The 13,402-nt window shown below is 36.4% G+C and overlaps 1 protein-coding gene across 2 annotated transcripts in view; it reads left to right on the forward strand.

Annotated features, from left to right (window-relative positions):
- Nucleotides 1–13,402, forward strand: part of CLVS2 (clavesin 2) — a 76,691-nt gene that overhangs the window by 43,332 nt on the left and 19,957 nt on the right. For both annotated transcript variants that reach the window (NM_001010852.4, XM_047418196.1), the window contains exon 4: nt 9,056–9,166. In NM_001010852.4, the coding sequence (NP_001010852.2) occupies nt 9,056–9,166 (111 nt within the window). The remainder of the gene's footprint in view (nt 1–9,055; nt 9,167–13,402) is intronic.

A 13,402-nucleotide genomic window follows, 5' to 3' on the forward strand; every position in this document is an offset into this window, starting at 1 on the left:
TCTCTAGGCTATTTTACTCCTGATTGTATCAGGCACACACCAGCAGCAGCTGACTTAAACAAGCCCTGTGTCTTCCTGTTGAGGTGTGTGGCTATGACTTGCTTCCATCTGTTATCAGCCTTCTCTGGCAGAAAAGGTAACTGGTGAGAAGGCCATGTATGTTTTGCTCACAAAAGAGAGATCTTCTTGCCCATTCAGTTATGATGACTAAACATGTTACAGATTAGTTTTTAGTGTTGGTTTTACTTTGAGAAATAGGTAGCTAGGTAAAATTAGCTCTTTAGCTATGTAAAACTCCCTCTTTCAAGGGAGAATATTTTATACAGTATTCTACTTTAAGTTGTCTATATTTACGGTACTCAGGACTCAGACATTTCACTCCATATGCAAAGTTGATGTCATTGAATCACTAATAAAACAGCAGTCACCAAAGCTGAGAGTTTTATCCTGGTATAGAGATCTATCCATACAAATACATTAACATCGTATCAAGGGTCCAGGCTTGGGCAGGGGTGGGTTGTATCTGAAGTGCTGTTAGGCTTCACCAAGTGATCAACTGTAGGCATAGAAAAACTGTAACAAAAGAATGATTTGTCAATAATTGGAATAGGCCTCAGATTTTGAGATAGCCTAATCATGTCTGGCCCACACATGTCAGAGGCCCTGTGCATATAGTCATAATATACTCCTGTAGGTTTTTTCCCCATAATAATTCCTCTGCTCTATTTGGTAATTCTGGGTATATGGCTGAAACTGAAAAGCGGGGATACCTTTGCTGTTACAGACACATTGCCTAATAGGTTAGTGGATTTATTACTGGAAGCTGGGAGTCAAGAATGTTATAGATTATTTCAGTACATGTGTTCAAAACAGACGAGAAAAAGAAAAAAAAAGAGTAACGTTGTGTTCTCCCCGCCATGGAATCAATATATAATTGTTAATTACGCGCCAGGCGCAGTGGCTTATGCCTGTAATCCCAGCACTTTGTGAGGCCGAGGCAGGTGGATCATGAGGTCAGGAGTTCAAGACCAGCCTGGCCAAGATGGTGAAACCCTGTCTCTACTAAAAATACAAAAATTAGCTGGGCGTAGTGGCGGGTACCTGTAAGCCCAGCTACTCGGGAGTCGGGAGGCTGAAGTTGCAGTGAGCCGAGATCGCGCCATTGCACTCCAGCCTGGGTAGCAAAGTGAGACTCCGTCTCAAAAAAGAAAAGAAAAGAAAAGAAAAGAAAAGAAAAGAATTGTTAATTACAAGTGATAATTAAGTGGCAAAAGAGGAAATGAAGTTATTCATTGTATATTTGGACTATTCATACAGTTTTTTTCAGAGTTTAAAAAATTAAAAATTTGGAAATGATAGTCTACATTATGATTACAATAATGATAAGACCATCACAAAACTCTCATTTTTCCATAGGCAGGTGACAGTTGTGTGCTATCTTGTATGAAACAAGTGGAACTCATGCCATTGTATGGGCCTGCATTTTCATAAACTGGAGCAGCCCTGAGCACCACGTTGTTTTTTGAACTTAATTAGAAATAATGCCCAAGTGAAATGATGTTGTCTGATAGGCTCCTCTACAGGTTGCATAAAGAAAAACTTGAAGGACTTAATAAAAGGATAGTTCTGAGTTGCAGGGAAAATTCCTTCCAGTCATCTTGAGTAGAAGTTGAAAACTCTCCCTGTCCAAACTATAAATAGTGATTGTAGAATCACCAAAGCAATGCAGCCAAATCCTTCTGCCTTCAAAATGTTAGTGTGAGACCTGTTCTCCCTACAGTAAATGCCCGCCCACAGTTTAAAGAACACAATTTTGTAAAACCTTAAGAATCCATGGCAGATTTTCTAGTAGTGTGCACCGAGAAGATATGTCACTTGGGCATTATCTCTAATTAACTTTAAAACAGCAATAACAACAAACAAACACCCTCAGACAGAAATGAAACAGAGTAAAGCTGCAGATCTCTATAATGGGAACTGAATTCCCTTAAAGGAGAGTGACAGGGCAAAAGAGAGATTTTCCAGGAGTCACAGTGTTGTGAAGTCTTCTTTAGCCAATATTAACACATATAGAATGGGGAAATGATTTTTTTTAATAGTAATGGCAGAAAGGATATGTATGCCTTTGGATAGAGCATATTCTGTTGACTACACTTAAGAGAAATACATGTTGACACAATTATATTCATGATGGAAAATTTAAACAATAGCTGGCATTTGGCTGAGGGTCTTAAAGAGATACTATAAAGTATCTAGATGTGAATCTAGAACATCAATTTTCAATTTAAAAATTAATGCTAAAAAGTTATCTACATTCTAGTGCATATTTGGAATTAAGATTTTAGCATCTGAGAGGGCACAATTATTTCAAAATATATTCGTATTTCAAAAATTGAATATTCTAAAAAAAGTTACCTACAAAGCCACATATTAATGGGAAATGATTGTATCATTTTAATCACTATTTTAAGTGATTCATTATGGTAAATCCATATTATTTCTTAAAACACTTATTAAAATTGAGACACTATTTTTAAGGAATCATGAATATGTGATTCATGTGCATTTCATTTTAGAGAATGCTCATCAAGTAAAAACCCTTTCTAACCATTGATTTTAAAATACAGTGTTGTATATCTCTAGAGACTGATGTCTCCTGTAACAGGAATTGACTATTCATTTTTCAAGCCATTCAATTATCTTTTTTTCTCTTTTCTCTGATGGCAAACTCCTAAGTGTTAAATAACTTGGTAAGAAAAAATATTATTTATTATTGCTTTCCTACATATCAGACTAACTACTTCTTTTTTCGGGTGAAATTTGGCTTCTACACAATTCCTTGCATCTAATCAAGTTCCTTTATTGTGTGTGTGCCAGGGCAGCATGAGATTTTAATGAGGAATGAAAGTTAAGTGGACAGAGGTGGAGCTGCCTCTGTCATGTGTACAATCCCAATTTAAACTCTTATCTCTGTATGAAGGATGAAATCTTTTGTTTTCAATCCATTCATTCAAATATGGCTCATTACCAGTTATAAGTGAGGCACAGAAAAAGACATTCCAATTAGCTGGTAATTAAATAGTTTCCTGGCTGTCTCTTCTCAATTTGGCAGAAGACACTGGTTGGAATGTTTTGGTAAAAATCTTTGCTTTCGTCAGGAAGGCAAGTGAATGGCTTGCCTGGATCTGTCTGTCCACTAGTGATAATGAGCAGCGATTTGGAACTGGGAAAAGCATGACTTTCTTCAGGAATCAGAACCTTCTAGAAGATGAATAAGACCTGTATACAAACAGCTAATACAACATTCTAAAAAATGGATACAAGGTATCCAAATGCTGTTATACTATCTAGAAAAGACACCCCCAAAAGTCATATTTAGGGAATCACAGTGTGGTTAGCATGTTAAGGCAGACCAAACTTAAATTCAAACACATCTGAAGGAAGCTAATAGTGATGTTCCTGAGGGAATTAGCAATACCAACTGCCACAAAATCACTTCTACTCTCTAAACCAAATCACTTTCAGAAACAGTGATATTATATGTGTTGTACACCTCTGAGCCATTACCAATAACTATTATCATAATTCCAGACAGGTACATCAAGTTTCATATCATCTATATAAAACTTGGAAAAAAACTTGAGCGCATACATCAAGATTCTTAGAGTATTGTGTCTTCCTCTGGTTGGTAAAATTATGAATGATTTTTTTAAATTATACTTTTTTTGTATTGAAAATGTCTAGAGTAAGTATCTTTTATATTTATACACATAGTGTATTCCTAGTGTCAAGTAGGATTAATGCAATATTTTAGGTCCTAGTATAATTTTATGGGTAGAGTTATGGAATTAAACATGTAATTTCTAGGTGCTGGGCGCTACACCTTATCACTATATGCCCTTTGCTATGGGGCCTATAGTAGTTGAAGCTAAATGTTTCAAAAAAGTACAAGAAAGTGATTAAATAAAAATATTTTAAAGGCTGATAGATTTAATTTTAAATAAGTAAATTACGCATACGATTTCTGCTTATGTTCACACTGAAAACACATATTAACACAACTGATTGGTTTAGGACCCTAGACAGTGTTACTTGTGACCAAAGTTGTGGATTTAATTCTTATAGAAAAGTTCATTTTGCTCTCATTTGGAGCCATAAACTGTATCCTGATGACTGTACCAGAAATTATACTGATTTATTTTCTTCATAAATCAGACAATATTACTTGTAATAGTATTTATCCTAACACATCATTTTTGTGTTTCATCAAAATTTATTTAAAAGTTAGAATAATGTGCTATGGTTCGGATTCTTTACTTTTTCTTTCTGAATAGTTAGATATGTGAGGCAAACATGTTTTTGCTAGAAATATATGAATAATTCACTGATACACATACACACACACATATAATGATACATATCAATTAATTTACCCCATAAATGACATCCAACTTTCCATTAATTGAAGCATTGAGGCAAGTCAGTCTTTGCATTAGGCACAAAGTGCTTTGCTCAAAGAAAAACAAAGGAGTGGAAGCAGGTGAATTGGCAAAACCATTTGGAAGTTAGAAATTTTATTACCTTTTTTCAACCCATCTTGGCTGCACTCTTCCTGATTGCCAGGCCATTCTATTTCATTGTCTCCAGTGAAGAACTGTGTAGCCAGCAAGTCAATGATTGGCATATTGTATATTGTGATTTTTATTATTACTTTGTACTTTGTAGGTCAAACAACTGCCGCTTAAACCACAGTGTAAAACTAGCTCTGTAAAACCAAAAGCGCTTTAGATAGATCTCAATCAATTTAAAGGGTTATTTCACCAAAGTTGAGGACGTGCCTGGGAAAAGGAGACCCAAGCCACAGTAGGATCTATGGCCTGTGTTTTTTTCCAGAGAGCATTTTGAGGACTTCAGTACTTAAGGAGGGATGAGTGGGCAGGAGGGAAAGGGGAAAGAAAAAAAAAACAAGGGAGGATAAGTAGTGAGATAAGGGGTCATATTCTTGTGAAGCTTTGATTAGCTGCCCACTGAATCTACATAGTAGGTGTGAAGGGAGGGTCTAGAAGAACAGTCAATTATGCATTCATCTCCTGCTATTTGGTAAATCTGCATTTGTCTCGGCTGGTAGAGGGATGATTTCTAGTCTTGTCTTTGTCCTGAACCTGTGAAGATAAGCTGTTAATTTAGATTGTCAGGATGAGGGAGACCACTTGGGAAGCTATGTGGCCTTCTATCTTGCAGCTATCTATTTAGGAACAAAGGTAGTTTTTTTGTGTGACTCAGTTTCCAAGCTTAACTTTTCCCTTTGGCTTAGTGAGTTTGATGTCCTGACATTTTATTTTCCTTTCACTCTTCCATGGTCATTTCCACATTTGTAAGATGGGGCTTGTGGTTAATATGGTAACCCTGTATCTAGAGGGTGTGCTGAATAATTAACAGATATTGTGAGTGATCAGTAATCCTATTAAATGTTGTTCCCATTTTACAGATAAGGAAATTGTGAATCAGAGAAGATAGTTTACTTAAATAGTTTTTATCTAGGCCTACTCAGTGAACATTTATCTACCTCTTTTGGGACACACACACACACACACACACACACCACATTTTTGAAATTCTGGGAATATAAAGATGAATGAGGCACAGTCTGGCTCAGAGTTCAGTACAACAAAACAGAAATCTCTTTGGATAGTTCAAGAACAAACGGATTTAATACTGGGAGTTAGTGTTTAAGGCCACATTGGAAGACCTAGGGCAGTGGAAGTTAAAGGAGGACTACAGCTGAATCCTTGGTTTTGAGGCCACATCCCTGTGGAAGTGATTCAGAGTCAAGAAACTAGTGCCCACATTGGCTACTGCTGTCCCGGAGGCCTCTCACCTCTAAGTGACACCGAGAAAGAGGAAGGTGGGGTTCAGACATTGCTGCAAACAATCTCTCAGCTAATAAGGTGCTTAGCAGCTGCCACTGCAACAAAAAGGTGACTGCTGCCTCCCTTTGGTCCCTTAAATCTTGCTCAGGTACATCTCATTGGCAGAACTCTCCCATTTAGAATGCTATGTTTAACCTTCCATTTCCACCTTATAGGGTAGGGGATGATGTGAGTGGAAATGGATTACAGGCCAGGCACCAATAGACCTACAGAATATGTAACCTCTGCATTTAAGGAGCTCACGGTTTAATAGTGGACGCAGACAAAGAGACAGTTTCAGGGTCATATGGCAAGTGCAGTGATGGACCCAGGCTTTTGCTAGTGATGGCAGAGAGTGGGCTTTTATGAGTGAGAAGTGAGAGAAGAGATCAAAAAAACTTCCTGGAAATGATGTTTTTGGAGCTAAATCTTAAGGGATTAGTAAAACCAGATTATACTCAAAGGGAGGGAAGGCCACAGTAGGTGTGTGGGAGAGAACAGTTAACAAGCCGTAAAACAGTATGTTGACTACAAAAGTGAAGGGGAGGCAGGAAAATGACATGCACTTGGGCATGACTGGAAGCGAGGAAGATCACAGTGAGGGAAAGAAAGAAATCAAGGGCTACGTTCTTGTTTTGGACTTTGATGCCTGACAGGTGACACTAAGCCAGAATTTTAAGCTAAATCTACTTGATTGCAAAGTCAGAGATTTCCCTGCTCTTTCACTCTGCCTCAACTGTGATTGGGTATTGATCAAGTATATCTAAAGCTGTGTCCAAGAAAGCCCATGACATTGCATTGTGTGCAAGTTATGTGTATATGTTTGCATGTTCATGTTTTTCAGGAGAGAAGAAGAAGCATGACCTTCTTGTGATTCTCAAAGTTTAAGAATCATTTGAGCCGGCCAGGTGCAGTAGCTCACGCCTGTAATCCCAGCACTTTGGGAGGCCGAGGTGGGCGAGTCACCTGAGGTCAGGAGTTTGAGACCAGCCTGACCAACGTGGTGAAACTCTGTCTCCACTAAAAATACAAAATTAGCCGGGCGTGGTGGTGCATGCCTGTAGTCCCAGCTACTCAGGAGACTGAGGCAGGAGAATCGCTTGAACCTGGGAGGAGGAAATTGCAGTGAGCCGAGATTGCGCCACTGCACTCTAGCCTGGTAATAGGAGTGAAACTCAGTCTCAAAAAAAAAAAAAAATAATAATAATAATCACTTGAGCCAAGACTTTTGGCTTAATAGCTGGTGTTCCTTTAGTTTTATTCTAGAGATTGCTTCAGGTAGTGCAGCAGGTTAACAATTTTTAAAGATCTTTTTGCCATAAAGTACCAAGATGTTGGTTTCATCACAACAAAAATATTTCCATGTGCGTTGCTGAACTCTCAAGAATGTGAGACAAATCCTTCTAAGCCAAGCACACACTAAAATCTACAGGAGAAAAACAGGAGAGCAGGTGAAGGCTGGGAGGAAATTCTTAACTACAGGAACCTAGAACTTTGGAGAATAGTGAGTGGTTGCCTGAATTGTAGGGTGCTCAGGAGGAAAGACTAGGCTTGCACACATTGAGGGCAAGTGGGGGACTGGATGCGAGACCTCATTCCTATAGGTGCTACATTCTTAGGGAAACATTAAACTAGGAAAATACCTGCTGGCCAGGAAACCTGTAAGGAAACCTCTCTATGACTCCCATATCCAGGTGAAATAATAATTATTAATAATAATATTAAGATATATGAGTATTTGTCTTAGTATTCTCTTATTTAGGTATATACTATCTTCTTTTTATTTATACATATTTCATAACTTTAAAATATACTATGCCTGTATTCAGATTCATTTCATTATTATAATAACCTCTCAATGAATGAAAACCACATATTTACAAAAGAAGTAAGACACTGGCATAAAAAGTAAAAGTTTTATCTTAAGCTATTTTATTATTTGTTGAACTACTATTGCTTTATAGGGTATTATTCTCAGAGGTAGAAGTTGCTTCGCAAAATGAAATTTGGCAGCTCTGCAAATCAATATGCAAATACTAGATTAATTCACTACTGCTCGTAAGTGTCCAAAATAAAAACAAAATATTTTTATAGGGTTATGCCCTGCAAGTCTTTGACCAGAGACTCTTATTCAAGAGAACATTTAAATTGAAAAAATACAATTATTTTAGTTCCTTTACTTTTCTTTTCTTCCTGCTTGTGCTCTAAATAGAATTCAGAAGAATGCCGAGTATTATGATGCCACTTCAGAGGCACTTCTAGTAGGCTAGTTTTTTTTTTCTTTTTAAAGAAGACCTTTGTAGTGAGTTCAATGTGTAATTTTGAAAGAGTAGCAAGGATCAGATCCATTTATGTAGAATCATTAACATACTCAAGTGCAGTGTCAAATGTTGCCATTCATTTGGGTTAAGGGTTCCCTTCATATTTTGGAATGGGCTAGGGCTGTACCTATTTAATCATGGGTAGGAAGAGGAGGAGGCTGGCTTTACATTTTCCTCCTGTGGAGTGAGATCAGAGAGATTCGATTTTCATTTAACCTAGCAAAATACATCCTTAAGTTTCTTACAGTACAACTCTGCATTTTTATTTTGCTTAAGCATGTTACTTTCTTGTAGTTAAAATAAGGAAAAGATAATGTTTATAACTAAGTTGATAAAATAATAAGATAAAGAGAATAAAATGAGTTTTGTGTCTGGCATTTCTCACACTGTAGATGACTAGATAGGGATTTAATAAAATATTTTATTTAAAAAATAGATTTTAATATAAATATAAATAATTTAAATGAAACCTTTATAGAATGTAGATTCATTATTTGACAAATCTCTAATGACTTTTGTTTTTGTTTCTTGGCCTGTACTGACTATTAGCAGTTTATAGGCTTAAACTACGACCCTCTTAAAAATGCTGAAATTCTTATCAATAACCTATTCTTGGGAAGGATTTGATTTATTATACATTGCTTCAGTTACTGTATGAAAAGTACAATGTTTAACGTGGTAAGGTTCTTCTTTTCTCTCCTTAACTCCACAGATAATCTCATCTAAGTATGTGAAAGAATAAATTTGTATACCATATAACCTTTCCTAAACCTTCTCAGTCTATTAAAGCATATTTTGATTGTTTTTTTCTCCATGTTACTCTAGGATAGTTTCCCAGCGCGATTTGGAGGAATTCATTTTGTCAATCAACCATGGTATATCCATGCCCTGTACACCGTGATCCGGCCTTTCCTGAAGGAGAAAACTCGGAAAAGGGTATTCTTTTCTTTGATTTTTAATCCTTTCTCTTCCGCCATCCAATGAATTATAATGCATAATGTGTATATAATGTTAGCTATAGTAAAATGTACTTCTACATTGTATAGAAATCAACATAGAAGACATTTTAAGATTCTTCCAGATTTTGTGGTTGTGAACAGTATATCTGTGAAAGAAGCATTTAAAAGCTAGCTCTCCTACTTGCTCACAAAAAGGAGGACATTTTAGCATATTCACTGTTTGTTAAAGACTCAATTTAAAGGCCAAAAAAAACTCTTATGCCATGTTACTATAGTGTTATTGATGCACTTAATTTGAAGTAAAGTCTAAACAAAAGTTATAATTTTATATGCTGGTAAGTGGATGTTTTTTCACAGTATGTACCGCAATGAATGTAGTGAAATCTGTGGTATCTAATATAATTTTTTACAATGATTATCATGATCAGTCACACATTTTGAAAAGAATGCTAATGTGTGGAAATTTTAATATTTCTTTAAATTATATGTTACTTGAAGTCTCTTTAAATTCACTTTAATCTAACAATGAGGATAGTCAAAGTGCATAAAACAAAATAATTTTTCTGAGATTGAGATAATTTATGTAAAACATTTGATACAGTGTAGGGCACAAGGTAAATACTGAACACATTATTTTTATTAAAATAAGTCTTGATGTACATTTCACTAATTCTTGCAACAGCTCTGAAAAGTAAATTTAGTAACCATTATTTCCTGTTTTAGAGCTGAAGAAACTAAGTCCTGGAATGGATAAATAACCTGCTTACTCACATACACAGAAGAAAAGTTGCAGAGCTAGTATACAAACCCAAATATTTCAGCCCCATGTATAGAGCTATTTTTACTTCCTGGTGCTGTTCCCAGTTTTCGAATGATTAGTTCCACAGCAAAATACATTTTCCTCTAAATCTATATGGAAGATAATTTTCCATGTTTCTCAATGACCTAGAAGGCACTTCAGGTAGAAGCTTTATTGTGAGTGTGAAAGTGCAATAAGAACACATGGACACAGGAAGGGGAATATCACACACCGGGGCCTGTTGTGGGATGGGGGGCGGGGAGGAATAGCATTAGGAGATATACCTAATGTTAAATGATGAGTTAATAGGTGCAGCACACCAACATGGCATATGTATACATATGTAACAAACCTGCACGTTGTGCACATGTACCCTAAAACTTAAAGTATAATTTTTAAAAAAGTGCAATAATTACACGTCTATATCAAGCATTAATGAACAAAGGGCTTACTGTAAGTGAATTTGCGCTCCTGAAAATACAATAATTACATGTTCATATCAAGCATCAGTGAACAGAGGGTTTACTGTAAATGAATTTGTTGACAATGTTTTAATAGTTTAGGAGGAAGAATTCTATAAACAATTATAATTTATAGTAGAAATTGTTTCTACCACCAAGTATTAAATTAATTCATATTTTGGAATTCAGAAAGTTTATTGAAATGCCTCACAAGTGCTTTTGCAAGATTTGCTTTAATGAAAGGATGATCAAGTGATCCAAAAAACCTGCAGGGGCTTTTAGTACAAATTATACTGGTGAGTGCTTATACAGTATTCACTCAATGCCACATGCTGTTCTCAGTGCTTTGCATAAGTTAACTCATTTAGTACTTACGACACCACTTTGGAGTATATATTGTTATTTTTCTCATTTTATGGATGGAAAAATTAGGCTTGGAAGGTTAACCAATTTGCTCTGAATCACAGCTAGCAGATCGTAGAGCCGGATACGTGAATTTATGGGAAAGAGAGTTTCAGGCAGAAGGAATAGCAAAGACAAATGTCTTCAGGTAGAAACACACCTAGTGTATTTGACAAACAGCAAGAAGGTAGAAAAGCTGGAGCAGAATGAGCTATGGGGGCAGATGATAGGGGATGGAGTAGGTGGTAGAGGATGGGATAGGGGGGACTGCTTTGTACCAGATCGCACAGGGACTCATATACCATTGCTGGAATCTGGGCTTTCAGTCAGAATGAAATTTGAAGCCCTTGAAGGTCATTGAATACAGGGGTTACTTGTTCTGAAATGATTTTTAACATGATTCTGCTCTGTTGAAAAAGACTGAAGAGGATCAATTCTGGGAAACAAGGAGTGCACTGCGTTTTGGGGTTTTGTAATTGAATTGGACAGCTTTGACAACCTAGAAGCATGCACTGCTAGCATTATTCCAGATGGAAGGAAGGTATCTAAACTTTACCATTTTAGTTAAAATTATATGACTTGGAAATTTTCATATGAGAAAATAATTATATATTTAAATACTTTAAATTTCTACTTATATAATCAATACACAGTGCAAAGCTATTAAATTTCTTCACTGATATTCCAAGTGAGTCAGTATCACAATATTACTCACACACCTTATGCTTCGGATGCTATAAGTCTATGTTCTGAAAAGCTAGTAAAAGAGAACTGAGGAAGCAGTTGTGAATCTTTTTCTACAAACTCAGGTGTGCAAGAATCACCTGCTTCATTTTCTTAAATTAAATTAAATTTGACTTTGAGTCTCCAACTTACTGGGCTGCTGGGAATATCACCCTTAGTACAGGTGTCCTTTTCCCTCAAAAGCTCACCAGTATCTGGAGTCTTTCACGCAGAGCCAAACTTCCCATCCATCATGGCCACTTCTGATGTCCTCATTGTTCAAACCAATATTAGTTCCTTAAACTAAGGTCTCCTACTGCTCCCAAGTTATCTGTGAAAAAGGGGTATCTTTGCAAAAGCTAAAATCCAATGAAACCCACTACCCTAGTGTATTCTTCAGCAAGTCAATAGTTGTGCTCCTGCTACTTAAAAGTTGATGGGAAACAGGTTTTCCTACTAATTGGCACAAATTTCTTCCTTTTAGTCAATATGGCCAATGTTGTCTTCTACTCCTTGTTGATTCTCAAAAGACTTTCATCTGTTCTTTTTCACTCCAGATCACTTAGCATAATCTCTTTAATAGCACAGTGTAGAAAAGTAAAATAAAAAATGGAAGTATTATTCAGGCTAATTCTCAGAATTGTAAGGTATTCAGAGGCACAGGAACCAACAAGGACCAAACTTCTTGCATGAAATGGAGGAAGGAAAAACATATAAGGAGAGAAAAATAGTAAAATGTTAATAAATGATGTTATTACACAGAACTAGTGAAAACAAAGAAAAATCCAAAAGTAGAAACTTAACAATTGGGCAATTGCAATGCATCTTTACTGCCTGGTCCAGAGATGCAATTCACATGTAAGAGTTCTAAAAGAGCATCATCATATAATATATATTTTTTCAACAAATCTTGGCTTTGGAGAAATAAGAGCATTATACTTAATGAATTGCCAAGACAATATATGCATGATTTAAGTAAGGAAATTATATGATATATTAGAAGTTGGGAGGTGCTGTCAAGAAACATGATACATAGAAAGTGGATAGGCTTCCCAGGTTGGGCAGGGTTACAGTATTAAATAGGTTTACCAAGGAAGGCCTTCCTGACAAGGGGCCTTTTAAGAAGAGATGTGCAGGATGTAGGTCAACAAGCCATGAGGACATTTGGGAGTAGAAATCTCCAGACAGAAGAAATATCCATTATAAATGTTCTGAGGCAAGTGCATAGAAGGAGATGGGTTCAAAGAAGTAATTCTTATAGGACCTTATAGTTTCATGCTAAGAGAAAGAAGTCAATGGGGAATTGTGAGGAGAAAGATATGACCTGACTTATATTTTGACATGGTCATTCTGGCTGCCCTGTTGAGAATAGAGTGTAGGTGGAAGAGTGGATATAGAGAGGACAGTTAGGAGGCTCATGCAAGAGCACACCTGAAAGGATAGTAGCTGTGTTATGGGTGTAGGGGTAGAGCTAATCAGAATGATTGGATTTGGGATACATTTTGAGGATAGCACCAAAAAGATTTACTGACAACTGAGATGATGAGGGGAGTAAAGGGCTGAGTTGAAAGTTTTGGTCTGAGAAAGTGGAAGAATAGTGACACCATTAACTGATGTTGGAGATAGGGAGGAGCATATTTGAGGTGGGGGAAGATTATGAGTCCAATTTTGAACACGTTAAATTTGCAGCAGCCATTGAATATTTAAGTGGATATTTTAAGTGGAGAGTGGAAATACAGTTATGGAGTTTGAAAAAGGGGCCTGGATTCAAGACATATATTTCTAGTGCAGGGATATTATTTTAAAGCCACTGACTGAATAAAATGAA

Source organism: Homo sapiens, chromosome 6, assembly GCF_000001405.40.
Source record: "Homo sapiens chromosome 6, GRCh38.p14 Primary Assembly".
In the NCBI taxonomy this organism is placed as follows: domain Eukaryota; kingdom Metazoa; phylum Chordata; class Mammalia; order Primates; family Hominidae; genus Homo; species Homo sapiens.